Source organism: Homo sapiens, chromosome 2 (assembly GCF_000001405.40).
Source record: "Homo sapiens chromosome 2, GRCh38.p14 Primary Assembly".
Classification (NCBI taxonomy): Eukaryota; Metazoa; Chordata; class Mammalia; order Primates; family Hominidae; genus Homo; species Homo sapiens.
The window spans coordinates 172110396-172134259 of record NC_000002.12 but is presented as its reverse complement, the minus strand read 5'-3'; the positions used below and the strand labels follow the sequence as shown (position 1 = coordinate 172134259).

At 41.3% G+C, this 23864-nt stretch overlaps 3 annotated features.

Annotated features, from left to right (window-relative positions):
* Positions 1251–1944: an enhancer, noted in NCBI's record as "NANOG-H3K27ac-H3K4me1 hESC enhancer chr2:172997044-172997737 (GRCh37/hg19 assembly coordinates)". NCBI's record gives its function as "activates a minimal SCP1, AML or CMV promoter by ChIP-STARR-seq in primed H9 embryonic stem cells {active_cell/tissue: H9 hESC(primed)}" and the evidence as "EXISTENCE:reporter gene assay evidence [ECO:0000049][PMID:30033119]".
* Positions 1945–2639: an enhancer, noted in NCBI's record as "OCT4-NANOG-H3K27ac-H3K4me1 hESC enhancer chr2:172996349-172997043 (GRCh37/hg19 assembly coordinates)". NCBI's record gives its function as "activates a minimal SCP1, AML or CMV promoter by ChIP-STARR-seq in primed H9 embryonic stem cells {active_cell/tissue: H9 hESC(primed)}" and the evidence as "EXISTENCE:reporter gene assay evidence [ECO:0000049][PMID:30033119]".
* Positions 7287–7463: a silencer, noted in NCBI's record as "fragment chr2:172991525-172991701 (GRCh37/hg19 assembly coordinates)". NCBI's record gives its function as "represses an EF-1alpha promoter that drives an FKBP-Casp9 reporter gene in an ReSE screen in K562 erythroleukemia cells {active_cell/tissue: K562}" and the evidence as "EXISTENCE:reporter gene assay evidence [ECO:0000049][PMID:32094911]".

The following is a 23864-nucleotide window of genomic DNA, read 5'->3' as shown; positions in this document are numbered from 1 at the left end:
ACATTACAATCATTTTGGAAAAGTTTAGAATTAGTTACCAAAATGTAAGATACACAAACTCTATAATCCAGCAATTCCATTCCTAGGTAGACACTGAACAGAAATGCATATGGATGTGCATCAGGAGACATGCACAAGAATGTTCTTCGCAGCACTGAAAATGATCCAATGTCCATCAATAATAGAACGGATAAATAAATTGTGATATATTACAATCATATATTGTGAACACGAGCAAACTACAACTACTCATCAACATGGATGAATTTTATAAACACCAACTTGAGGCCGGACATGGTGGCTCATGCCTGTAGTCCCAGCACTTTGGGAGGCCGAGGCAGGTGGATCACCTGAGGTCAGGAGTTCAAGACCAGCCTGGCCAATATAGTGAAACTCTACCTCTACTAAAAATACAAAAATTAGCCAGGCATGGTGGTGTGTGCCTGCAGTCCCAGCTACTCAGGAGGCTAAGGCAGGAAAATCACTTGAAACTGGGAGACAGAGGTTGCAGTGAGCCGAGATCGCGCCACTGCACTCCAGCCTGGGGGACAGAGGGAGACTCCATCTCAAAAAAAAGAAACAGAAGAGCAAGGAAATGGTTACCATAAAAATCAGGATAATAGTTACCTGGGACGAGGGGGAGGTTGAGAAGGAGGTGATCAGGATGAGACACACGGAAAAAGATTCTGGGAAAGACAGCAATATTCTGTTTCTTAACCTGTGCAGTGTTTTCATGGTTTTTTGTAATTATATTTCTTCTATAATTATTCGTCATGCTTTAAATGTGTGTTTCATGCGCATTTGTCTGTGTGCTATCTTTTACGATTAATAAAGGTTTAAAATAAACAAATCAGCTTCAGCTTTATGTGACTATAGAAGTCCTGAAATTGCTGGACTTATGATAAGTGTATTAATACAGCTTGATTTTTGCATGAATGTATTAGTAGAAAGTTTGATTTTTGCATGAATGTATTAGTAGAAAGTCATCTATTCCTGATTTGACAAATTCTCATATGTTATTTTAAGGTTCTTCTGCCAGTTGATTTAAATACAGATTAGCTGTTGAACAAATATGTTTACTATTCCAAAATGGTGACATTTGGGTTCCAAAGTTTCACAAGACCATTCTGAGAATGACTTGAGGAGCACTGTATCATAACGAAGGTTTGATTTAGGTTGTCCCCATTTTGCTAAGCCTTATTATACCAAGTAAGCTCATTTCCAGGCCATGAAAAGCAATTCAAAAGAATTTCATATCCTCAGGATACTAGAAACCAGTACTCTGAAGATCATACTCTAAAAGTTGGCTCAGGCAAATTTCAATATGCAAATTTGTGCTTTTAAATTACACTTCATTAAAATACACTTACCAGTTTAAGTGGAGGCTGATTTTGTAACTGCATTTGGAATTTAGATTCTTACTACTTTCAAACAAATGCTATGTAAACATGAAAATTAAGTAATCAAATGATTCTTTGCCCTCCTTCTACGACACTTTTCACTTGAAAATACAAATCCTGAAAACATCCCACTAAGGAAATGAAGTCCCTCGGCTTTGGAAATATACTTTAACCAAGTGGAGAGCAGACTGCCCTGACCTCATGAAGATCACAGGCACAGGGAAACTTCACAAAGGCCCTGGGCAACTCAGCCCAGAAACTCTGCCCAGGCCCAAACAAGCCCTTTGCATTCTCCTGCTTTTACCAACCAACCCCAGGAGCCTGGCCTGTATTCTCAAGGTTGGCCTCCACTCCTCCTAGCCCTTAAGGTCCTCCCCGCAAGTCTGGCTGTAACAGGGCCTATGGTGTCCCCCAACACTCCTTTCATTACTGCTCTAGTTTGAGAAAAGGGCAGAGTGTGATAAAAGTGCAGAATGCAAGGACCAATAGCACTCACCCAACATGTGCAACAGCCCAAACTCCTCACAAGCCCGAGCCAGTAGAGTCATTAGACCCTCATTTTACAGAGAAGAGAATCAAAGCCCAGAGAACTTGTAAAATCTGCCTGAGGTGACACAGCTGACAGAGTGGAGCCCAGTCAAGCCATTGCTGGTGCCAGTGATTTCCCTGCCTCACTGCAGACTTGGCGTCTTAGACTCAGCTCCATTCAGTGGTTCAGAATTAGGGCTTTAGAGGTAGATAATCCTAGTTAGAGTCTCAGACCAATTACCTCCAAGCTATGTGACCTCAAGTAGATTATTTAACCTCTCTGGCTTCAGTTATCCAAGTCAAAGCTCAATGAATAGTAGCCATTATTATCACTTCTTTCTCAGATGCTAATCTGTAGTGTAAGCCTCTGTTCTCAAACTTTCCTTTGCATAAGGACCACCTAGGGGAACTTTTTAAATGCAGATTACTCCTGCTCTGCTCTTGGGACCTCTGAGCCTGGTCCAGGAGGAACTATTTGAATGTTTGTTTTGTTTTGTTTTGTTTTGTTTTGTTTGAGAGAGTCTCACTCTGTCACGTAGGCTGGAGTGTGATCTCAGCTCACTGCAGCCTCAGCCTCCTGGACTCAAGGGTTCTTCCCACCTCTCAGCCTCCCGAGTAGCTGGGACTACAGGCGCCTGCCACCACACCCAGCTAATTTCTGTATTTTTTGTAGAGACAGGCTTTTGCCATATTACCCAGGCTGGTCATAAATGCCCCTGCTCAAGCCATCTGCCTGCCTTGTCCTCCCAAAGTGTTGAGATTACAGGCATGTGCCACCGTGCCCAGCCTTAAATATTTTAATAAAATTCCTGGATGTTCTTATGCAGAGAGCCAAGCATTGACAAATGGCAAGCAAGTGCTTCTATCCTGTGCTTTTACTCCTTTGAAATGAAAGTGTCCACTAGACCATAAACACATTTGTTTCCCTTAGGAAAACTCTAGCTCTAAGAATTTGAAGTATTTCTTCTAAAACAGATTCCACTCCACATTTGTCTTCTACTGGTGGCTTTCAAATTTTTTTTACCATAACCACAATAAGAAATACACTTTACACAGTGACAAAGAATATGCATGTTTATATATACATACATAAATAAATTTTCCATAAAATAACATCTTCACTTTTCACACTTCTATTTTTCATCCATTTTCTCTTGTAATGCTGACCACAACCCTTTAATTTTATTTCACAACCCAGTAGTGAGTTGCAATCAAGAAAGACTAACAGTAAGATGACCCAGATGTTGGAATTAGCAGACAAGGATTTTAAAGAAATTATTATAACTAATATTAAAAGATATAAAGGAAAATATGCATGTAATAAGCAGATTAAAAATTTAAGGTTGGGAGTGGTGGCTGACACGTGTAATCCCAGCACTTTAGGAGGCCAAAGAAGGAGGATCACCTGAGGCCAGGAGTTCAAGATCAGCCTGGCAACATAGTGAGACCCTGTATCTACAAAAAAAATTTTAATTAGCCAGGCATGGTGGCATAAGCCTGTAGTCTCAGCTACTTGGAAGGCTGAGGCAGGAGAATTGCTTGAGCCGAGGAATCTGAGGCTACGGTGAGCTGTGAATATAGCACTGCATTCCAGCTTGGGTGACAGAGCAAGATACCCTCTCTAAAAAAAAAAAAAAAAAGAAAAGAAGAAGAAGAAAAGAAAGAAAGAAAGGAAGAAAAGCTAAGCAAAGAAATGGAAGGAATCACATGGAAATCCTAGAACTTAAAATTACAGGCCAAGCATGGTGCCTCATGCCTATAATTCCAGCACTTTGAGAGGCCAAGGTAGGAGGATTGCTGGAGGCCAGGCGTTCAAAGCCAGCTTGGTCAACATAGTGAGACCTCATCTCTACAAAAATTAGCTGGGCATGGTAGCACATGCCGGTAGTTCCAGCTACTAGGGAGGCTGAGGTGGGTGGATCAGTTGAGCCCCAGAGATCGAGGCTGCAATCAGCTGTGATCACGCCATTGCCTTCCAGCATGGGTGACAGAGTGAGATCCCGTCAAAAAAAAAAAGGGGGGCCAGGCACAGTGGCTCATACCTGTAATCCCAGCACTTTGGGAGGCTGAGGCAAGTGGGTCACCTGAGGTCAGGGGTTCAAGATCAGCCTGACCAACATGGAGAAACTCCATCTCTACTAAAAATACAAATATTAGCAGGGCATGGTGGTGCATGCCTATAATCCCAGCTACTCAGGAGGCTGAGGCAGGAGAACTGCTTGAACTCAGGAGGCAGAGGCTGTGGTGAGCTGAGATCATGCCATTGCACTCCAGCCTGAGCAACAAGAGTGAAACTCCATCTCAAAAAAAAGAAAAAAGAAAAGAAAATATAAATAAAAAGTACACATACGAAATAAAAACCCCACTGAATGGGCAGACTGAGATGGCAGAAGAAAGAGTCAGTAAACTAGAAATTACCTAGTTTGAAAAACAGGGAGACAAAAAGATTGAAAACAAAAGGCTCAGAGACCTATAGGACAATATCAAGCAATCTACCCTACATATAATTGGAACCCCAGAATGACCAAAAAGAGAAAAGAGAGCTAAAAAAAAAACTGTCCAGGAATGATGGCCAAAAACTTCCCTAATCTAGTGAACAACATAAATTTACAGTTTCAAGAAGCTCAGCAAATTCAAGCAGGAGAAATAAAAACCACATCTAGGTATATCACTGCTGAAAACCAAAGATAAAGAGAAGAATCTTTAAAGCAACCAAGGAAAAATGACTCATTACTACAGGAGAACAATGATAGTTTTAATAGACAACTTCTCATCTAAAACAATGGAAGCCAGAGACAGTGGTGTAATATTTAAATCTTTTTTTAAAAAAAACTGTCAACCCAAAATTCTATATTGAGTAAAAATATATTTTAAGAATGAAAGCAAAATAAAGCCATTTTCAGATAAATGACAACTAAAAGAATGCATCACAGCAGACCTATGCTACAATAAATGCTAAAGGAAAAAGCTTAGGCTGGAAGAAAATGAAACCAGATGGAAACTCAGCTCTTCAGGGAGAAATAAAGACTACCAGATGGCCAGGTATGGTTGCTAACACCTGTAATCCCAGCACTTTGGGAAGCCAGGGCAGGAGGATCGCTTGAGCCTAGGAGTTCAAGACCAGACTGGGCAACAAAGCAACAACATATCCTACAAAAAATTTTTTTAATTAGCTGGACATGGTGGTGCATGCCTGTGGTACCCACCACTTGGGAGGCTGAGTTTGGAGGATCACTTGTGCCCAGGAGTTCAAGGCTGCAGTGAGCTATGATCACACCACCACACTTCATTCAACCTGGATGACAGAATGAGAGTCCATCTCAAAAAAAAAAAAAAAAAAAAGACCACCAGAAATAATAAATATGTAGGCAAATATAAAAGATTATCTTTTCTTTTCTTTCTCTTTATTTAAATACATATGACTATTTAAGGCAAAATTGTAACGAAGTATTGTGGTAGCTACAGCATTCTCATACATAATACATGTGACAACTATAGCATAAAGCAGGAGTCAACAAACTTTTTCTGTAAATAGTAAGACAGGAAATATTTTAGGCTCTGTAAACCATGTGGTCTCTGTTACAACTATTCAACTATACCATCACATGGCATGAAAGTAGCCATAAACAATACATAAGTGAATGTGTGTAGTTATGTTGCAATAAAATAAAAGCAGATACAGCCAAGATTTGACTCACCAGTAAGAGTTTGCCAACCCCTGGCATAAAGGATTGGGGGTAAATAAAACTGTATGGTTGCAAAATTTTTATATGTAATATGAACTGGTATCATAATTCCAGGTAGACTATAAAAAGTTAAGGACATATATTATAATCCCTAGAGCAACTATTCAAAATAAAAATGCAAAGAATAGGGCCGGGCACAGTGGCTCAAGCCTGTAATCCCAGCACTTTGGGAGGCCGAGGCAGGTGGATCACAAGGTCAGGAGATCGAGACCATCCTGGCTAACACAGTGAAACCCCGTCTCTACTAAAAATACAAAAAAATTAGCCAGGAGTGGTGGCGGGTGCCTGTAGTCCCAGCTACTCGGGAGGCTGAGGCAGAAGAATGGCGTGAATCCAGGAGGCAGAGCTTGCAGTAAGCCGAGATTGCGCCACTGCACTCCAGCCTGGGCGACAGAGCGAGAGTCCGTCTCCAAAAAAAAAAAGGTGCAAAGAATAACAGAAAAGCCAATATCGAAAAATAAAATGGGACCAGGCACAGTGGCTCACAGCTGCAATTCTAACACACTGAAAAGCCAAGGTGAGAGGATTTCTTGGGTCCAGGAGTTCATACCAGCTAGGGCAACATAGCAAGACCTCCATCTCTACAAAAAAAAAAAAAAAAAAAAAAAAAAAAAAAAAAACCAGCCAGGCATGGTGGCATGCACCTATAGTCCTAGCTACTCAGAAGGCTGAGACAAGAGGATTCCTTGAGCCCAGGAGTTTGAAGATGCAGTGAGCTATTATCACACCAAGGTACTCCAGCCTGAGTGATAGAGTGAGACAATGTCTCCAAAAATAAGTAAATAAATTTTAAAAATGTAATTTTAAGAAAATACCCAACTGACTCTAGAGAAAACAGCAAAGGAAAAACAGAGGAACAAAAACAAACCAATGAAACAAACAGAAAACAAATAGACATAAGTCCAAATCTATTGATATTTATATTAAATCTAAATGGACAAAATTTGGCAGAGGTTATCAAACTAAATGAAAAAAACAAGACCCAACTATATGCTTTCTACAAGAGACATACTTGTGCCAGTTACCAATTTATTGCCTCTCAGCCCCAAATTCACCTTTCATTGCAGGTCCTGTAAAAATGGAGCTAGGTTCTTTAGATATTTTCCCTTTGCCATCTAGCAAAATACCAAGTTTTGTCAGTAGAGGGCACTAGAGAAACACTGCAGGAAGAAAGGATTTTCTTTCCTGGTTTTGTAGTGCTCTCTCAGCAGATAACCTGAGGCACTTTCAGCTTCTATAGTGCCCAGCTCCTGAAGTTCACAGTAGTCAGAAGTAAACAGAAGGCAGCAACTTCTGCATACCCTCTCAGGCAGTTTCATAGCAGAAAAAACCTCTAGCAAAACTCACTCCGCATTAACGACTTTCATTGGTACCCTAGAAAATAAGTGTCTGGATGGGCCGGGCGCGGTGGCTCACACCTGTAATCCCCAGCACTTTGGGAGGCCGAGGCGGGCGGATTAGACCATCCTGGCTAACATGGTGAAACCCCGTCTCTACTAAAAATACAAAAAATTAGCCGGCCGTGGTGGCGGGCGCCTGTAGTCCCAGCTACTCAGGAAGCTGAGACAGGAGAATGGCGTGAACCTGGGAGGCAGAGCTTGGAGTGAGCCGAGATCGAGCCACGGCACTCCAGCCTGGGCGACAGAGCGAGAGTCCGTCTGAAAAAAAAAAAAAAAAAAGGAAAAGAAAGTAAGTATCTGGCAAGTTTTGGAGGGTGGATTTCCAGCAAGTTCTGGGGTTTTTCTTATTGTTCATTTATTTATTTATTTATTCTTTAGAAACAGAGTCTCGCTCTGTCGCCCGGGATGGAGTGCAGTGGCGTGATCTTGGCTCACTGCAACATCTGCCTCCCAGGTTCAAACGATTCTGCTGCCTTAACCTCCCAAGTAGCTGGATTACAGGTGCCCACCATCATGCCCAGCTGACTTTTCTATGTTTAGTAGAGATGGGTTTTCACCATGTTGGCCAGGCTGGTCTCGAACTCCTGCTCAGGTGATCCACCCACCTTGGCTTCCCAAAGTGTTGGGATTACAGGCATGAGCTACCATGCCTGGCCACATTAAGTTCTGTTAATGTGGCATCACATTGGCTTCTCTGCCATTCAATGAGCCACCCTCTTCAACAAGGTCTAGCTCTCAGCTTGGCAAGAAGGGCATGCGAGGTAGTAGTAGAGAGGAAGGGCATTCTTCTCTGGGCAACCTATCTCAGCCTTAAGGACAGTGGCTGCTCCTTATATCTGCTATTTCTATATTCTTTAGAGTTTTCTTTACTACTAGCCAATCTCTCATTATTTCAATCGCGTTTTATTTAATAATTCTTTATATTAAGCATTCCCACTTCAAATTGCTGTATCATTTTTGTCTGTTGATTAGACCCTCACTAATTTGACCTTTCAATATAAAGACAGATAGATCAAAAGAAAAAGATGTAAAAAGATATACCCTGCAAACAATAAGCATGAAAAAGCTGGACTGGCTATCTTATGATCATATAGTCTTCAAGACAGAGTATGCCAGAGATACAGTGGGACATTACACAGTGATTAAAGATTTAATTCATCAGGAAGACGTGTATGTACTTAAAAACAGAACTCCAAGATACATAAAGAAAAACCGATAGAATTAAATGAAAAAACTAACAAATCTATAAACATCATTGAAGATTTTAATATCTTTTTCTCAGTAATTGATAGAACAATCCAAAAAAATAGCAAAGACATAGAAATTTTCTTTTCTTTTCTTTTTTTTTTTTTTGAGATGGAGTTTCACTCTTATTGCCCAGGCTGGAATGCAATGGTGCCATCTCAGCTCACTGCAACCTTCGCCTCCTGGGTTCAAGCAATTCTCCTGCCTCAGCTTCCCAAGTAGCTGGGATTACAGGCACCTGCTACCACGCGCAGCTAATTTTTATATTTTTAGTAGAGACAGAGTTTCATTATGTTGTCCAGGCTGGTCTCGAACTCCCGACCTCAGGTGATCCACCTGCCTCGGCCTCCCAAAGTGCTGGGATTACAGGTGTGAGCCACCGTACCTGGCCAATAACATACTTCTAAATAACAATAGGTCAAAGAATAAATCACAAGGAAAATTTTAAACATTTCAAAGTGAACGATAATTAAAATACAACATATCGAATATATGGAATACAGATAAGCAGTGATTAGGCCAGAGGTTCCCCAAATTTCTTGGTTCACAATGCCTTCCTTCATTGTCTCAGTAAGTTTTTACAGTTCCCCTGGCCCAAAAAAAGACCACATAAGAGTTACATTTATTAAGTACAGTCATATGTTGCTTAATGAAGAGAATACATTCTGAGAAAGGCATCATTAGGCGATTTCATCATTGTGCAAACATGATAGAGTGTACTTACACAAACCTAGGTGGTATAGTCTGCTACACACCTAGGCTATATAATAGGGCCTATTGCTTCTGGGCTACAAACCTGTATAGCATGTTACTGTACTGAATACTATAGGCAATGAGAACACAATGGTATGTATTTGCGTATCCAAATATATCTAAATATAGAGGCCGGGTGCGGTGGCTCATGCCTGTAATCCCAGCACTTTGGGAGGCCAAGTCAGGCAGATCACCTGAGGTCAGGAGTTTGAGACCAGCCTGGCCAACATGGTGAAACCCCGTCTCTACTAAAAATACAAAAATTAGCTGACCATGGTGGCAGGCGCCTGTAATCCCAGCTACTCAGGAGGCTAAGGCAGGAGAATCACTTGAACCCAGGAGGCAGAGGTTGCAGTGAGCCAAGATCGCACCAGCGCACTCCAGCCTGGGGGACAAGAGTGAGACTTCATCTCAAAAACAAACAAAAAAACAAAACAACAACAACAACAACAAAACCATAGAAAAGATACAGTAAAAAATAGACAAACGGGATCTAATTAAACTAAAGAGCTTCTGCACAGCAAAAGAAACTACCATCAGAGTGAACAGGCAACCTGCAGAATGGGAGAAAATTTTTGCAATCTACCCATCTGACAAAGGGCTAATATCCAGAATCTACAAAGAACTTAAACAAATTTACAAGAAAAAAACAACCCCATCAAAAAGTGGGCAAAGGATATGAACAGACAATTCTCAAAAGTAGACATCTATGCAGCCAACAGACACATGAAAAAATGCTCATCATCCCTGATCATCAGAGAAATGCAAATCAAAACCACAATGAGATAGCATCTCATGCCAGTTAGAATGGCAATCATTAAAAAGTCAAGAAACAACAGATGCTGGAGAGGATGTGAAGAAATAGGAATGCTTTTACACTGTTGGTGGGAGTGTAAATTAGTTCAACCATTGTGGAAGACAGTGTGGCGATTCCTCAAGGATCTAGAACTAGATTACCCAGCAATCCCATTACTGGGTATATACCCGCAGGATTATAAATCATGCTACTATAAAGACATATGAACACGTATGTTTATTGTGGCACTATTCACAATAGCAGACTTGGAACCAACCCAAATGTCCATCAGTGATAGACTGGATTAAGCAAATGTGGCACATATACACCACGGAATACTATGCAGTCATAAAAAAGATGAGTTCATGTCCTTTGCAAGGACATGGATGAAGCTGGAAACCATCATCCTCAGCAAATTATCACAAGGACAGAAAACCAAACACCACATGTTCTCACTCATAGGTGGGAATTGAACAATGAGATCACTTGGACACAAGGTGGGGAACATCACACACCGGGGCCTGCTGGGGAGGGGGGCCGGGGGAGGGATAGCATTAGGAGAAATACCTAAGATAAGTGATGAGTTAATGGGTGCAGCAAACCAACATGGCACATATATACCTATGTATCAAACCTGCACATTGTGCCCATGTACCCTAGAACTTAAAGTATAATGAAAAAAAGAAAAGACATGGTAAAAATATGGCATATAAAATTTAAAATGGTATACCTGTATAGACCACTTACCATGAATGAAGCTTGCAGGACTTGAAAGTTGCTCAGGGTGTCAGTCAGTGAATGTGAAGGCCTAGGACATTACTGTACACTATGGTAGACACTTCGGCTACACTAAATATATTTAAAATTTTTTCTTCAATAATAAATTAACCTTCGCTTACTGTTGCGTTTTTCTTTCTTTTTTTTTTTTTTTTTTTTTTGAGACAGAGTCTCACTCTGTCACCCAGGCTGGAGTGCAGTGGTACAATCTCAGCTTACTGCAACCTCCACCTCCCAGGTTCAAGCAATTCTAATTCCTCAGCCCCCTGAGTAGGTGAGACTACAGGCACCTGCCACCATATCCTGCTAATTTTTGTATTTTTAGTAGAGATAGGGTTTTGCCATGTTGGCCAGACTGGTCTCGAGCTCCTGGCCTCAAGTGATCTACCCGCCTTGGCCTCCCAAAGTGCTGGGATTACAGGCATGAGCCACTGCACCCACCCTACTACTACTTTTTTACTTTATAAACTTTTAAAGTTTTCTTTAACTTTTTGACTCTTTTGTGATAATACTTATCTTAAAACATACATTGTATAGCTGTACAAAAATATTTTCTTTATATCCTTATTCTATAAGGTGTTTTTTTTTTTTTTTTTTTTGAGATGGAGTCTCGCTCTCAACCCAGGCTGGAGTGGAGTACAATGGCATGATCTCGGCTCACTGTAGCCTTTCGCTCCTGGGTTCAAGCGATTTCCAGTGCTAATTCTTGTATTTCTAGTAGAGACAGGGTTTCACCATGTTGGCAAGGCTGGTCTTGAACTCCTGACTTCAAGTCATCTGCCCACCTCGGCCACCCAAATTGCTGGGATTACAGGCATGAGCCATGGCACCCGGCCTGCTTTTTTCTATTTTTAAAATTTTTTACTATTTTTTTTACTTTTAAAACTTTTGTTACAAACTAAGATAAAAACACACATATCAGTCTAGCCCTATAGAGGGTCAGGATCATTAATATCACTGTCTTCCACCTCTACATCTTGTCCCACTGGAAGGTCTTCAGGATCAATTACATGCACTGATCTGTCATTTCCTATGATAACAATGCCTTCTTCTGAAATGCTTCCTGAAGGACCTGCCTGAGGCTCTTAATGGGGTGGTGTCACTCTTTTTAGAAATATGTTCAAGGTGGTTTGCTTGATTTCTTTCTTTTTTTATTTTTTAATTGTAGATTTGCTTGTAACCAGGTAATGCGCCATGGACATTCCTCTCTCTTAATGAAAACCTTTCCCTGTTAGGGTCTATGTTTTCAAACTTTTTTTTTTTTTTTTTTTTGAGATGGAGTCTCACTCTTGTCCCCCAGGCTGGAGTGCAGTGGTGTGATCTGGGCTCACTGCAACCTCCTCCTCCTGGGCTCAAGGGATTCTCCTGCCTCAGCCTCCTGAGTAGCTGAGATTACAGGCACCTGCCACCACTTCCAACTAATTTTTGTATTTTTAGTAGAGATGGGGTTTCACCATGTTGGCCAGGCTGGTCTCAAACTCCTGACCTCAAGTGATCCACCCGCCTCAGCCTCCCAAAGTGCTGGGATTATAGGCGTGAACCACCGCACCCAGCCTGTTTTCAAACTTTTTAAGGAGCTTTTTGAGGTCTGCAAAAGCTTCTGATAAACCCTTCACTGTGAATTTTCTTGGTGGTTCTTGTTTTATATCTCTTACAGTTTCCTTTTCTCTTGCCTCTTCTTCAGCTACACATTCTTATTCCATTTCAAACAACTCTTCATTAGTCAATTCCTCAGGAACCACCTCTAGGAGCTCCTCAATGTTGTCATCCTCATTCACGCCCAGGTTAAAGTTGTTTGCCATCTTAACCACAGCTTTGCTGATTTTGCAGCCTCCCCATCCTTGGCAAATACTTTAAAGTCATGGACAAACCTCTTGAGTCTCTTCTTCCAGATGCCATCCATACACTCCTTGGTGACATCACCCCAAGCCCAAGCAAGATTCTTCTTAATGCAGTCATAGATGTTGTAATCCTCCCAGATTTGCATCAGTGTTTTCTCAGTGTCTTCTTCAGTTGCAGAAATAGCCTGAAAGAAGGTCCTCCTCAGGTAGTGAGTTTTAAAGGCTGCTGTAACTGGCCAGGCACAGTGGCTCACCACTGTAATCCCAGCACTTTGGGAGGCCAAGGTGGGCAGATCACGAGGTCAGGAGTACAAGACCAGCCTGGCCAATATGGTGAAACCCTGTCTCTACTAAAAATACAAAAATTAGCTGGGCGTGGTGGCACACACCTGTAATCCCAGCTACTCAACAGGCTGAGGCAGGAGAATCGCTTGAACCGAGGGGGCGGAGGTTGCAGTGAGTCAAGATTGCGCCACTGCACTCCAGCCTGGGCGACAGAGTGAGACTCCGTCTCAAAAAAAAAAAAAAAAACAAAAAAAACACCTGCTGTAACTCCTTGATCCATTGGATCAAAGAGGTGGTATTTGGAGGGAGAAACACCTTGATGTTGGGATGAAGAGCGCCAATAAAAGGAGAATGTGCAGGAGCATTAACAGCAATAAGCGATAGCTCACACCTGTAATCCTAGCACTTTGGGAGGCTGAGACAGGCAGATCACTTGAGCCCAGGAGTTCAAGACCAGCCCAGCCAACATGGTGAGACTCTGTCTCTACCAAAAAAAAAAAAAAAAAAAAAAAACCACACACACACAAAAATTAGTCGGGTGTGGTGGCTTGCACCTGTTATTCCAGCTACCCAGGAGGCTGGGGTGGGAAAACTGCTTGAGCCCAGGAGGTGGAGGTTGCAGTGAGCCAAGATCACACTGCTGCACTCCAGCATGGGTGACGGAACAAGACCTTGTCTCAAAAAAATAAAAATAAAAAACCATAAGCAGAATCTTGGAAAGTTCATTATCCTCCAAACAGTACTTCTCCATTCTGCTGGCATAGTAATTCCAGAGAGAATCCTGGAAGAGGATTCATGACTATTAAGTAATGCAGTACACTGGCCTGTGTGAGCTTATTTATATTCTTGAAGGTCCTGGGGCTCTCACTGTGCCAGATCATAAAGGGTTTCAATTTGTAGCCTGCAACATTGTCTCCATGCAAGACTGTTATCCTGAGCTCAAAAGCCTTGAAACCTGGCATTACCTTGACCTTCTTCCTTGTGGATGAAAGTCCTTTTAGGCATCCATTTCCAAAAGAGTTCTATCTATAATGAAAGTTTGCCCTGGCAAGTATTTTCCTCCACAGTCAACTTTTCTAAAGTCTCCAAAAATTCTTCAGCTGCCTTCACATCAGCACTCACAGACTCGCCACTCACTTTCACATTATGTAATGGATAACAATTCTGGAATTGTTTAAACCACCCAGAGCAAACAGTAAATTCAACATCGTAGTCAGGTCCAGCCTTTTCTTTTATCATTGCAAACAAACTTTTTGCTTTGGCTGTGTTGGTCATGGTGCTGAGAGGGATGTGCTTCTGTTTGGGGCTTCAATCCAGGTCATTAGAAGTATCTCCATATCTGATAGAGACCCTTCTCAAATTTGTGTTAATCCCATTGCCTTTAAGGAAGCAAATACTTTAACAGCTTCCATCACTTAGTTATTCTTCAAAATCATAGCTATGGTGGAATGGGACATGCCTGCCTGATAAACAAACATTATCACTGACTTTTTACTTTTGTAGTTCTTAATCACTTTTAATATTTTTTTTTTGAGATGGAGTTTTGCTCTGTCACCCAGGCTGGAGTGCAGTGGTGCGATCTCAGCTCACTGCAAGCTTCGCCTCCCGGCTCCCGGGTTCATGCCATTCTCTTGCCTCCGCCTCCCAAGTAGCTGGGACTACAGGCGCCCACCACCACGCCCGGCTAATTTCGTTTTTGTATTTTTAGTAGAAACAGGGTTTCACTGTGTTAGCCAGGATGGTCTCGATCTCCTGACCTTGTGATCTGCCCACCTCGGCCTCCCAAAGTTTTGGGATTACAGGTGTGAGCCACTGCGCCCGGCCCAATCACTTTTAATCTTTTTTTCTGGGTCAATCACTCAATGTGGCTCTTACTAACAACATTAGCCATAATTTTTGAATGCTAAGGGCTGTAATGAACACAACGCAAGATTAATTGTGTATGTTGCCCATTGTTGACCAAAACATTATGTGGCACACGACTGTAGTTATATCCAAACAACTTAATAAGTATTTAAATCCTAGCAACTTACTAGCCATTTGAAAAAAGAATACACAGAGTTGAAAGAATAGATGATATTCATATTTCATCACAGTTAAATAACAGAATTGCATCATTATGGGATTTGTGTACCTGTTGAGCCCTGTACTACTTCTCAAACCTTGGAACCAGATTGGATACCACCACTCTTATTCCCTGTGCCACATTGATTTTCACATGCTTCTTGCCTTTAACATAGTTGTGCTTAATACAATGACATACCAAAAAGATATGTCATCAAAAAGACTGTTTTGCAATCTCCTGTTGAAACTATGAATTACCTCAAGCTACATAGTTTTAGTTTGTATGGTATCATTGTGTTTTCCTTGAATTTTGAAAACTTCCCATGCTACCCATGTGAGTTTGCTGCAGTGCCCCAGATACTTTGGCACAGATTGAGAGGGAAATGTATAGAATTGAATGTATATATTGGAAGAACAGTGTGAGAAGATAATTATAGTCAAATGTAGCAAGTAGGTACAGGCTACCAGGATTTGGAGAAGCATTTAGAAAGTGTCTAAATTGCTTTGAGTAGACTGTAAGTAGAATTCTGGACATTGAAGACACTACCAATGAAAATTCAAATTCAAAAGAAAGTAAGGAAGCTGCTACTGAAAACTTGAGGAAAGATAGTGGCAGAAAGCCAAAGAGAAAGTGTCTGTATCCTGATGACATCATCTCAGTCACTGGACCCAGGTTTGTTTGAATCCAGATGAACCCGTAGACAATAAATTCTATATTCTGCTTAAACAGATTTAAATTGTGTTTTTAATACTAATAACTAATCATTAATGAAATCTAAAATAAATAACCTGCTACTTGGGAGGCTGAGGCAGGAGGATTACTTGAGCCCTAGAGGTGGAGGTTGCAGTGAGCCAAGATTGTGCCACTGCACTCCAGCCTGGGTGGCAGAGTAAGACCCCATCTCAAAAATAAATAAATAAATAAATAAATAAATAAATAAATAAATAAATAAATAACCTATTGTGTTTTTTGGGATTTTTTTGGTTTTTTTTTTTTTTTTTTTTTTTAATTGAGACGGAGTCTCACTCTGTCGCCCAGGCTGGAGTGCAGTGGCACGATCCCAGCTCACTACAACCTCTGCTTCCTGGGTTCAAGCGATTCTCCTGCCTCAGCCTCCTGAGTAGCTGGGATTACAGGCGCACACCACCACACCTGGCTAATTTTTGTATTTTTAGTAGAGACGGGATTTCACCATGTTGGTCAGGCTGGTCTCAAACTCCTGACCTTGTGATCCGCCCAACTCGGCCTCCCAAAGTGCTGGGACTACAGGCGTGAGCCACTGCACCCAGCAAAAATAACCTATTGTTGAGAATGGGAAACAAGTTCTTTATTGAGCATTTGCTACTGCCTTTAATAATAATAAACTGCTGTAAATTATACAAAGACAGAATCCACCGAATGCATCAATGTTCAAAGAGAATATGAGACTACCTCCTATATATAAAGGAGCTATATATAATAAAGATAATTATGGTCAAATGTGGCAAGTAGGTATGGACTATATAAAGGATAAGGAGGTGTATATATATATATATATATACACACACACATATATATGAAGGTAGTCTCATATATCACACACACACATATATATATACTAGAGATAGAATAGTCTCATATCACACACACACATATATATACTAGAGATAGAATAGTCTCATATATCACACACACACACACACACACACACACACACACACATATATATATATATATATATATACTAGAGATAGAATCTTGCTATGTTGCCCAGGCTGGAATGCAGTGGCACAAAGCACAATCATAGCTACTATAGCCTCGAACTCCTGGACTCAAAGGATCCTCCTGCCTCAGTCTCCCAAGTAACTGAAACTATCTTCTGCTTTAACCAACTAGAAGATCGTTTTGAGTTCACTCTGCCTATTGTATCTTATGCTATGCAAAGTTCTCCTCTGAGCGATTTGCCACATCTTTATCTTTTACTGCACACCATAACATCCTGTGGAATTTACTGGCTCAAATTTTATTATTAACACAAATATGAATGCTAAAATCATATGACAGAACTGTTATAGTCATCCAAATGATCCAGGGCATACTTATATTAATTTTTTGTTTTTGAAGCAAAAACCTGGAATATAATTATTGCAAAAACAGTGTGGCCCCAGGTATCTCCAGGCCCCAATTTGAGAAACACTGCTGTAAGTGATAGAAAGCCATTTAACCATTTAAACTGTGGTGACATCCTTTTCATGTCAGGCAGAGCAATGCTGAACACACTCCAATCTTTCCTGAATTAGTCAAGACTCATTATTCTAAATATTAACAATTTTCAGGCTCTATCAGAACCTCATCAAGGTGTGTCAGGATAGTCTCCCTATGCTAATTAGCCCCAAATTGCTGCATTAGCGGGCCATATATCAGCATTTGGTAGTTTCTTTAATCTTTATTTCTAACCATCAATTTCCTTTTATCTTGCTTTCTTTTTATCTTGAGAAACAATATCTTAAACTTCTATAATATATATTTCCTAATAATTTGTGAGAATTAAAACTTAGTGATTTATTACATTAGTATCTGTCATTTAATTGCTCAATAAATATTAGATAATCACTTACATATAAGCCAAATTTATCTCCAGATGGATCTGTCTTCTAAGAGCTAAATGATACTTGATACTTCTGCCTGGAAATCTCATAGGCATTGTAGTGGATTGATTGTAAAAATGTCCCAATTCTTTATCTCTCCCTATAACCATGCCCTTTGCCATGTGACTTTGCTGCTCTTTCCACCAAGAGGTGGCATCTGCTTAGGGTGACTGACCATCCCAGTTTGCCCAGGACTGAGGGGTTTCCTGGCACATAGGACTAGAGTGCTGAAACCAGCAAAATTGTGAGCAAACCAGGATGAGTTGATCACCCCAAGTCCAATTCCCCTTTTGAATCTGGGCTGACCTCATGGCTAGCTTTGGTCAGTAGAATACAGTGGAAGTGACAATGTACAAGTTCCAAGCGTGGATCTCAAAAGGCATCTTACGATTCTTCTCTTGCTCAGGTCCCCGCCACTGCAGGCCACCTGCAGATTAGCCTGCTAGTTGATGAGATGGCCCAGTGACCCTTGTCACCTCAGCTGACAGCCAACCAACTGCCAGCCATGAGAGTGAGGCCATTCCAAACAAGCCAGCGTCCAATTCAGTCAGCCCTCCACAGACACATGAGCGAGCTTAGACATACAAACAATAAGAAATGCTTATTGTTTCAAGCTACTGAGTTTTGGGGTAACTTGTGACACAGAAGTAGCTAACTGATAGAGATACCTCAAACTCAGCATTAAAGCTAAACCTATATCCCAGAGAAATGAAGACTTGTGTTGACACAAAACATATACACAAGTGTTTATAGCAGCTTTATTCAGAACAATCAAAATCTGGAAAAATCTAGATGTCTTTCAATGGGCAAATGGTTAAACAAACTGTGGGATATAATATCATGGAATACTACTCAACAATAAAAAAGAATAAATTATTGTTACATACAACAATCTGGACAAATCTCCAGAAAATCACGTTCTCTGAGAAAAAAAAAGCCAATCTCAAAAGCTTTCATACTATATGATTCCATTGATGTAACATTATTGAAATGATAAATTATAGGAATAGAGAATAGATTAGTCAATATCCTTGTTATAGGCCAAGCACGGTGGCACATTTCTGCAGTCCCAGCTACTGGGGAGGCTGAGTCAAGGGGATCACTTGAGCCCGGGAATTGTGGCCCAACCTGGGCAAGATAGCAAGACTCTATCTCCTTTAAAAAAAAAAACAAAAAGTTGTTGATTTGCTCTATAACTTCACACTATCACTGGGGGAACTGTGGAAAGGGTACAAAGGATCACTCTTTATCATCTCTTACAACTGCATGTGAATCTATGATTATCTCAAAATTAAAAGTTTAATTTTAATTTTTTTTTTTGAGACGGAGTCTCGCTCTGTTGCCCAGGCTAGAGGGCAGTGGCACGATCTCAGCTTACCACAACCTCTGCCTCCCAGGTTCAAGCTATTCTCCTGCCTCAGCCTCCCAAGTAGCTGGGACTACAGGCGTGCCCCACCATGCCCAGCTAATTTTTCTATTTTTAGTAGAGACAGGGTTTTACTATGTTGGCTTGTCTCGAACTCCTGACCTCATGATCCACCCGGCTCCACCTCCCAAAGTGCTGGGATTGCAGGTGTGAGCCACCGCGACTGGCCAAATTTTTCTAAACTTTTGAATTTTCCATTGTTCTTGGGCCAAAAATCTATTAGGTCCTACACGATATATTTCCTGCCTACCTTGCCAGCCCCACCGTACATACTCTCCTCATCCACTGTGGTCTGGCCCAGCTCACCTTCTTCCAGGTTTTCAAATGTCCCTTTCAGACTCAGAACTTTGCACATACTATTTCTTCTTTCTATAATGCCTTTCTCTCAACTATTTACCTAGCTAACTCTCATTTACCCTTTAAGTCTTTTATATGTCATTTTTTCACTTCAGTCACTCACTATGTGATGGGGTTATTTCATACAATAAATACATGGTTCATACCAACAGAGTTTACAGTATTCGGCCATCTGGGTCCAGGTTACTTTTGATGTTTATTTCCCTTTTGTTATCCCAAGACTTAAGTAAAACCTTGTTTAAACATCTCAGGATTCCAGCAGCTATTCTTTGGATTATGACAGAGTATCAAAAGTATAATAGAGATAAGAGTGAAATCCTTTACTGAGTTCAACCAGGGAAGGTAATTGCATAGTAAGAAATGCCCAGCCTGGCACGGTGGCTCACGCCTGTATTCCCAGCACTTTGGGAGGCTGAAGTGGGAGGATCACCTGAGGTCAGGAGTTCTAGACCAGCCTGGCCAACACGGAGAAACCCTGTCTCTACTAAAAATACAAAAACTAGCCAGGCATGGTGGTGCTCTCCTGTAATCCCAGCTACTCAGGGGGCTGAGGCAGGAGAATTGCTTGAAACTGGGAGGCAGAGGTTGCAGTCAGTCATCCAAAATCACACCACCGCACTCTAGCCTGGGCAACAGAGCAAGACCCCATCTCAAAAAAACAAAAAAAAAAGAAAGAAAAGAAAAAAGAAATGTCCAAGGCCAGGTGCGGTGGCTCACGCCTGTAATCCGAGCACTTTGGGAAGCCAAGGTGGGCAGATCACTTGAGATCAGGAGTTCAAGGCCAGCCTGGCCAACATGGCGAAACCCCATCTGTACTAAAAATAAAAAATTTAGCCAGGTGTGGTGGTGCAGGACTATAGTCCCAGCTACTCTACTGGGGAGGCTGAGGTAGGAGAATCACTTGAACCTGGGAGATGGAGTTTGCAATGAGCTGAGATCACGCCACTGCACTCCAGCCTGGGCGACAGAGCAAGACTCTGTCTCAAAAAAAGAAAAAAAAAGGAAAAAAGAAAAAAAGAAATGCCCAAGATGAAACTACAAGGATACAACAGTCAGAGCTGTAAAGTCTAGCTGCCCCTTCCCCCACAGGCTGTCACACACACAGCACTTTTCGTATACTAATATGTGCAATTTGTTAGCTTTACTATGAATTGGGTCGATGTAGATGAAGACCCTAAATGACCACTGGGTGTCATCACTGTCTTACACAAGACTTGGTGTGGCTCCTTAGTATTCAATCTTTTCTGGAATGTGGTGATAAATTGTGCTCAGTTCTAAATGAAACCAAAGCATATCATCAATTCAGAACTTAGCTATGTAGTAACACCAGCAAGGAGTACACAACTGAGGACTGGGAAATAGGCAAAAACAATGTCTTGAAATGGCCCAAAATGACATCCCAAAGTTCATTCACTTAAGTTTGCGTACTTTCCTCAAATGAAAGCCATTTGGGCCCTTTTAGTGGGAAGTTTCCTTTTTTTTTTAATTTTCTTTTTCCTATTTGAAGTTATTTCATTATTAGCACCTCTTCTCTTTGTGCTGCCTTTGCCTTGTTCATTCCATTATCCTAGGCACTGTCGTCCAAAAAAGACTAAAGTAGTAAGTTGGCTTATCACCCCATGACAACTCCTAAGCATAATAAGCATGTGCCCAAGGCAAGAGTGACACTGACATGGAGGGGAGGGTCCCATGTGGCACAGTGACAAAATTTCTGCAATCCATCACCTTTAAAAGGAAACGCATATGATTTGGGCTTAGAAGTGAAAGAACCCCACTAATGATCATTAAAGACTTATGTTCCTAAGGATAACAACCAGCTATGCTAACCTCTTTCTATTCATGGACTGAATGCACCTAGGAATCAAATGGTTTCAGGTCTGTGCTTGGCTTCCCATTCATCTGGTTTTCACAGATAAAGGATGTTCTGGACTTTTTCCTGTAATTTTTTCCTAACAAAGTCATTGCATCCTAACTTCAAGGTCATGGTATTAGCTATAGTAGATAAGCTGCCATATATATATGTTTGTGTATAGATATATATATGTGTGTGTACATATATATATGTGTGTATATATATGTGTGTGTGTATATATATAATCCCAAAAGTCAGTATCTTAAAATGTAAGTTTATTTCTTGGTCAGATAACCTTCCAAACAAGTGATGAAGATTCCCCTAGGCGGTGAGTCCCCTAGGGCCTCTAGGAGACTCTAGGGCCATGTCATCTTCATAGTTGAAGCTGGTTCCAGACAGCGGAAGGAAAAAGAGAGCAGAGAGGAGTCTCAACTCTGCCTAAAAGGTCCTGTCCTGGGAGAGGCACACATGGCTTCCACTTATGTTCCATTCTCTTGGATTGAATGACATGGTTACACATAAGTGCAAAGGGGGCTAGGGAGTAGTTTAGCTGCATTCCCCAAAAATCAGATTTGAGAGACAACACTTGGTCCATTCCACAACTATCCTTCAGTAGTCTAAGTGAAGTTTTGTTCAATTAAACATTAAACAGAGGCACAGAAAAGTTAAATAACTTTCCCTAATTTACACAGTTAGCAAGTAGCCAAGTTAGGATTTAAGCCCAGAGCCCATACTTTTAACCACTGTATATATTAACTCTAAAAGTATTAACATCTAAAAGTATTGGCATCTATAGGCCGGGCGCGGTGGCTCACGCCTGTAATCCCAGCACTTTGGGAGGCCGAGGCGGGCAGATCACGAGGTCAGGAGATTGAGACCATCCTGGCTAACATGGTAAAACCCTGTCTCTACTAAAAATACAAAAAATTAGCCGGGTGTGATGGCGGGCACGTGTAGTCCCAGCTACTTGGGAGGCTGAGGCAGGAGAATGGCATGAACCCAGGAGGCGGAGGTTGCAGTGAACCGAGATCGCGCCACTGCACTCCAGCCTGGGTGACAGAGCGAGACTCCGTCTCAAAAAAAAAAAAAAGTATTGGCATCTATAATCATGACCTGAAGGCCCAGAAGCCATAAAAAAAAAAGAGTCACATATTTGACCATACAAAACTTAAAATCTCTGAACTAGAAAAGAGAATAAACAAAAGTAAAAGAGAAGCAATTAACTTGGAATTAATATTGACTATAAACACAATAATGAGTTAATCTCCAAAATATGTAATAATTTCCTGTAAATCAATTTTTTAAAAACAGAAAAATGGGCAGAGAACAAAAATAGGCAATTCACAGAAGAAAATAAAATGCCTATATAAAAACACAAGCCAAGCATGCGATGGCACATGCCTGTAGTCCCAACTACTCTGGAGGCTGAGGCAGGAGGATCACTTGAGCCCAGGAGTTCAAGATCAGCCTGGACAAAATATAGCAGAGCATCCCTCTCTAAAATAAAATAAAATAAAAAAGACACACACTCTACTAATGTAAAGCCTTTGCAAGTTAAAATATGGCACTATTTTAAGCCTATCATATTCAAAAAACACTGAAGATTCCTAATATTCTTGGTGAGAGTGCTCAGAAATGAGTATAGAGCTTAAATTGCTTGTTTTTTAAGGGGAGCTTAGTGGTAGCTATTAAAATGTTGACATACAATTCAGTTACTAGGATTCTAGTTTACAAATATAATTGAACATGTGGGCAAAGCTCTCCAGAAGACATTCACTCATGTGTTGTTTGTAAATATCGGAAATCATCTAGATGACAAGGCAAAGAAGATAGTCAAATAAATGATGATACCTTCCTCACACATTCACCTTAAGAAGAAAATGATTGCTCTGTAACGACTGACATAGAAAGAAAAGATTTCTTTTTTTTTTTTTTTTGAGACGGAGTCTCGCTGTCGCCCAGGCTGGAGTGCAGTGGCGCAATCTCGGCTCACTGCAGGCTCCGCCCCCTGGGGTTCACGCCATTCTCCTGCCTCAGCCTCCCGAGTAGCTGGGACTACAGGCGCCCGCCACCTCGCCCGGCTAATTTTTTGTATTTTTAGTAGAGACGGGGTTTCACCGTGTTAGCCAGGATGGTCTCGATCTCCTGACCTCGTGATCCGCCCGCCTCGGCCTCCCAAAGTGCTGGGATTACAGGCGTGAGCCACCGCGCCCGGCCAAGATTTCTAAAAAATAAAAATGCTAGCCAGTCGCAGTGGCTCACACCTATAATCCCAGCACTTTGGGAGGCCGAGGCGGGCGGATCACTTGAGGTCAGGAGTTGGAGACCAGCCTGGCCAACGTGGTGAAACCCTATCTCTACTAAAACTACAAAAATTAGCTGGGCATGGTGGCACGCGCCTGCAATTCCAGCTACTCGGGAGGCTGAGGCAGGGGAATCACTTGAACCTGGAAGGCAGAGGTCGCAGTGAGCCAAGATGCACCACTGCACTCCAGCCTGGGCAACAAGAGGGAAACTCCGTCTCAAAAGAAAATAAATAAATAAATAAATAAATAAATAAATAAAAGAAATAGAAATACAAATAAAAATGCTTACGTGTTTACACATTTGAAACATGCACAGGGTTTTATGCATTTGAAAACGCGTGCACAAGTACATGCAAACAATCTGACATGACTGCCTAGGGTCAGTTCCCTGTGAATAACCTGCAAGGTTCTTCCCTCTGCTCCCCTCTCCATTTTCAAAGAAGCGAGCAGAAGCAGCCCA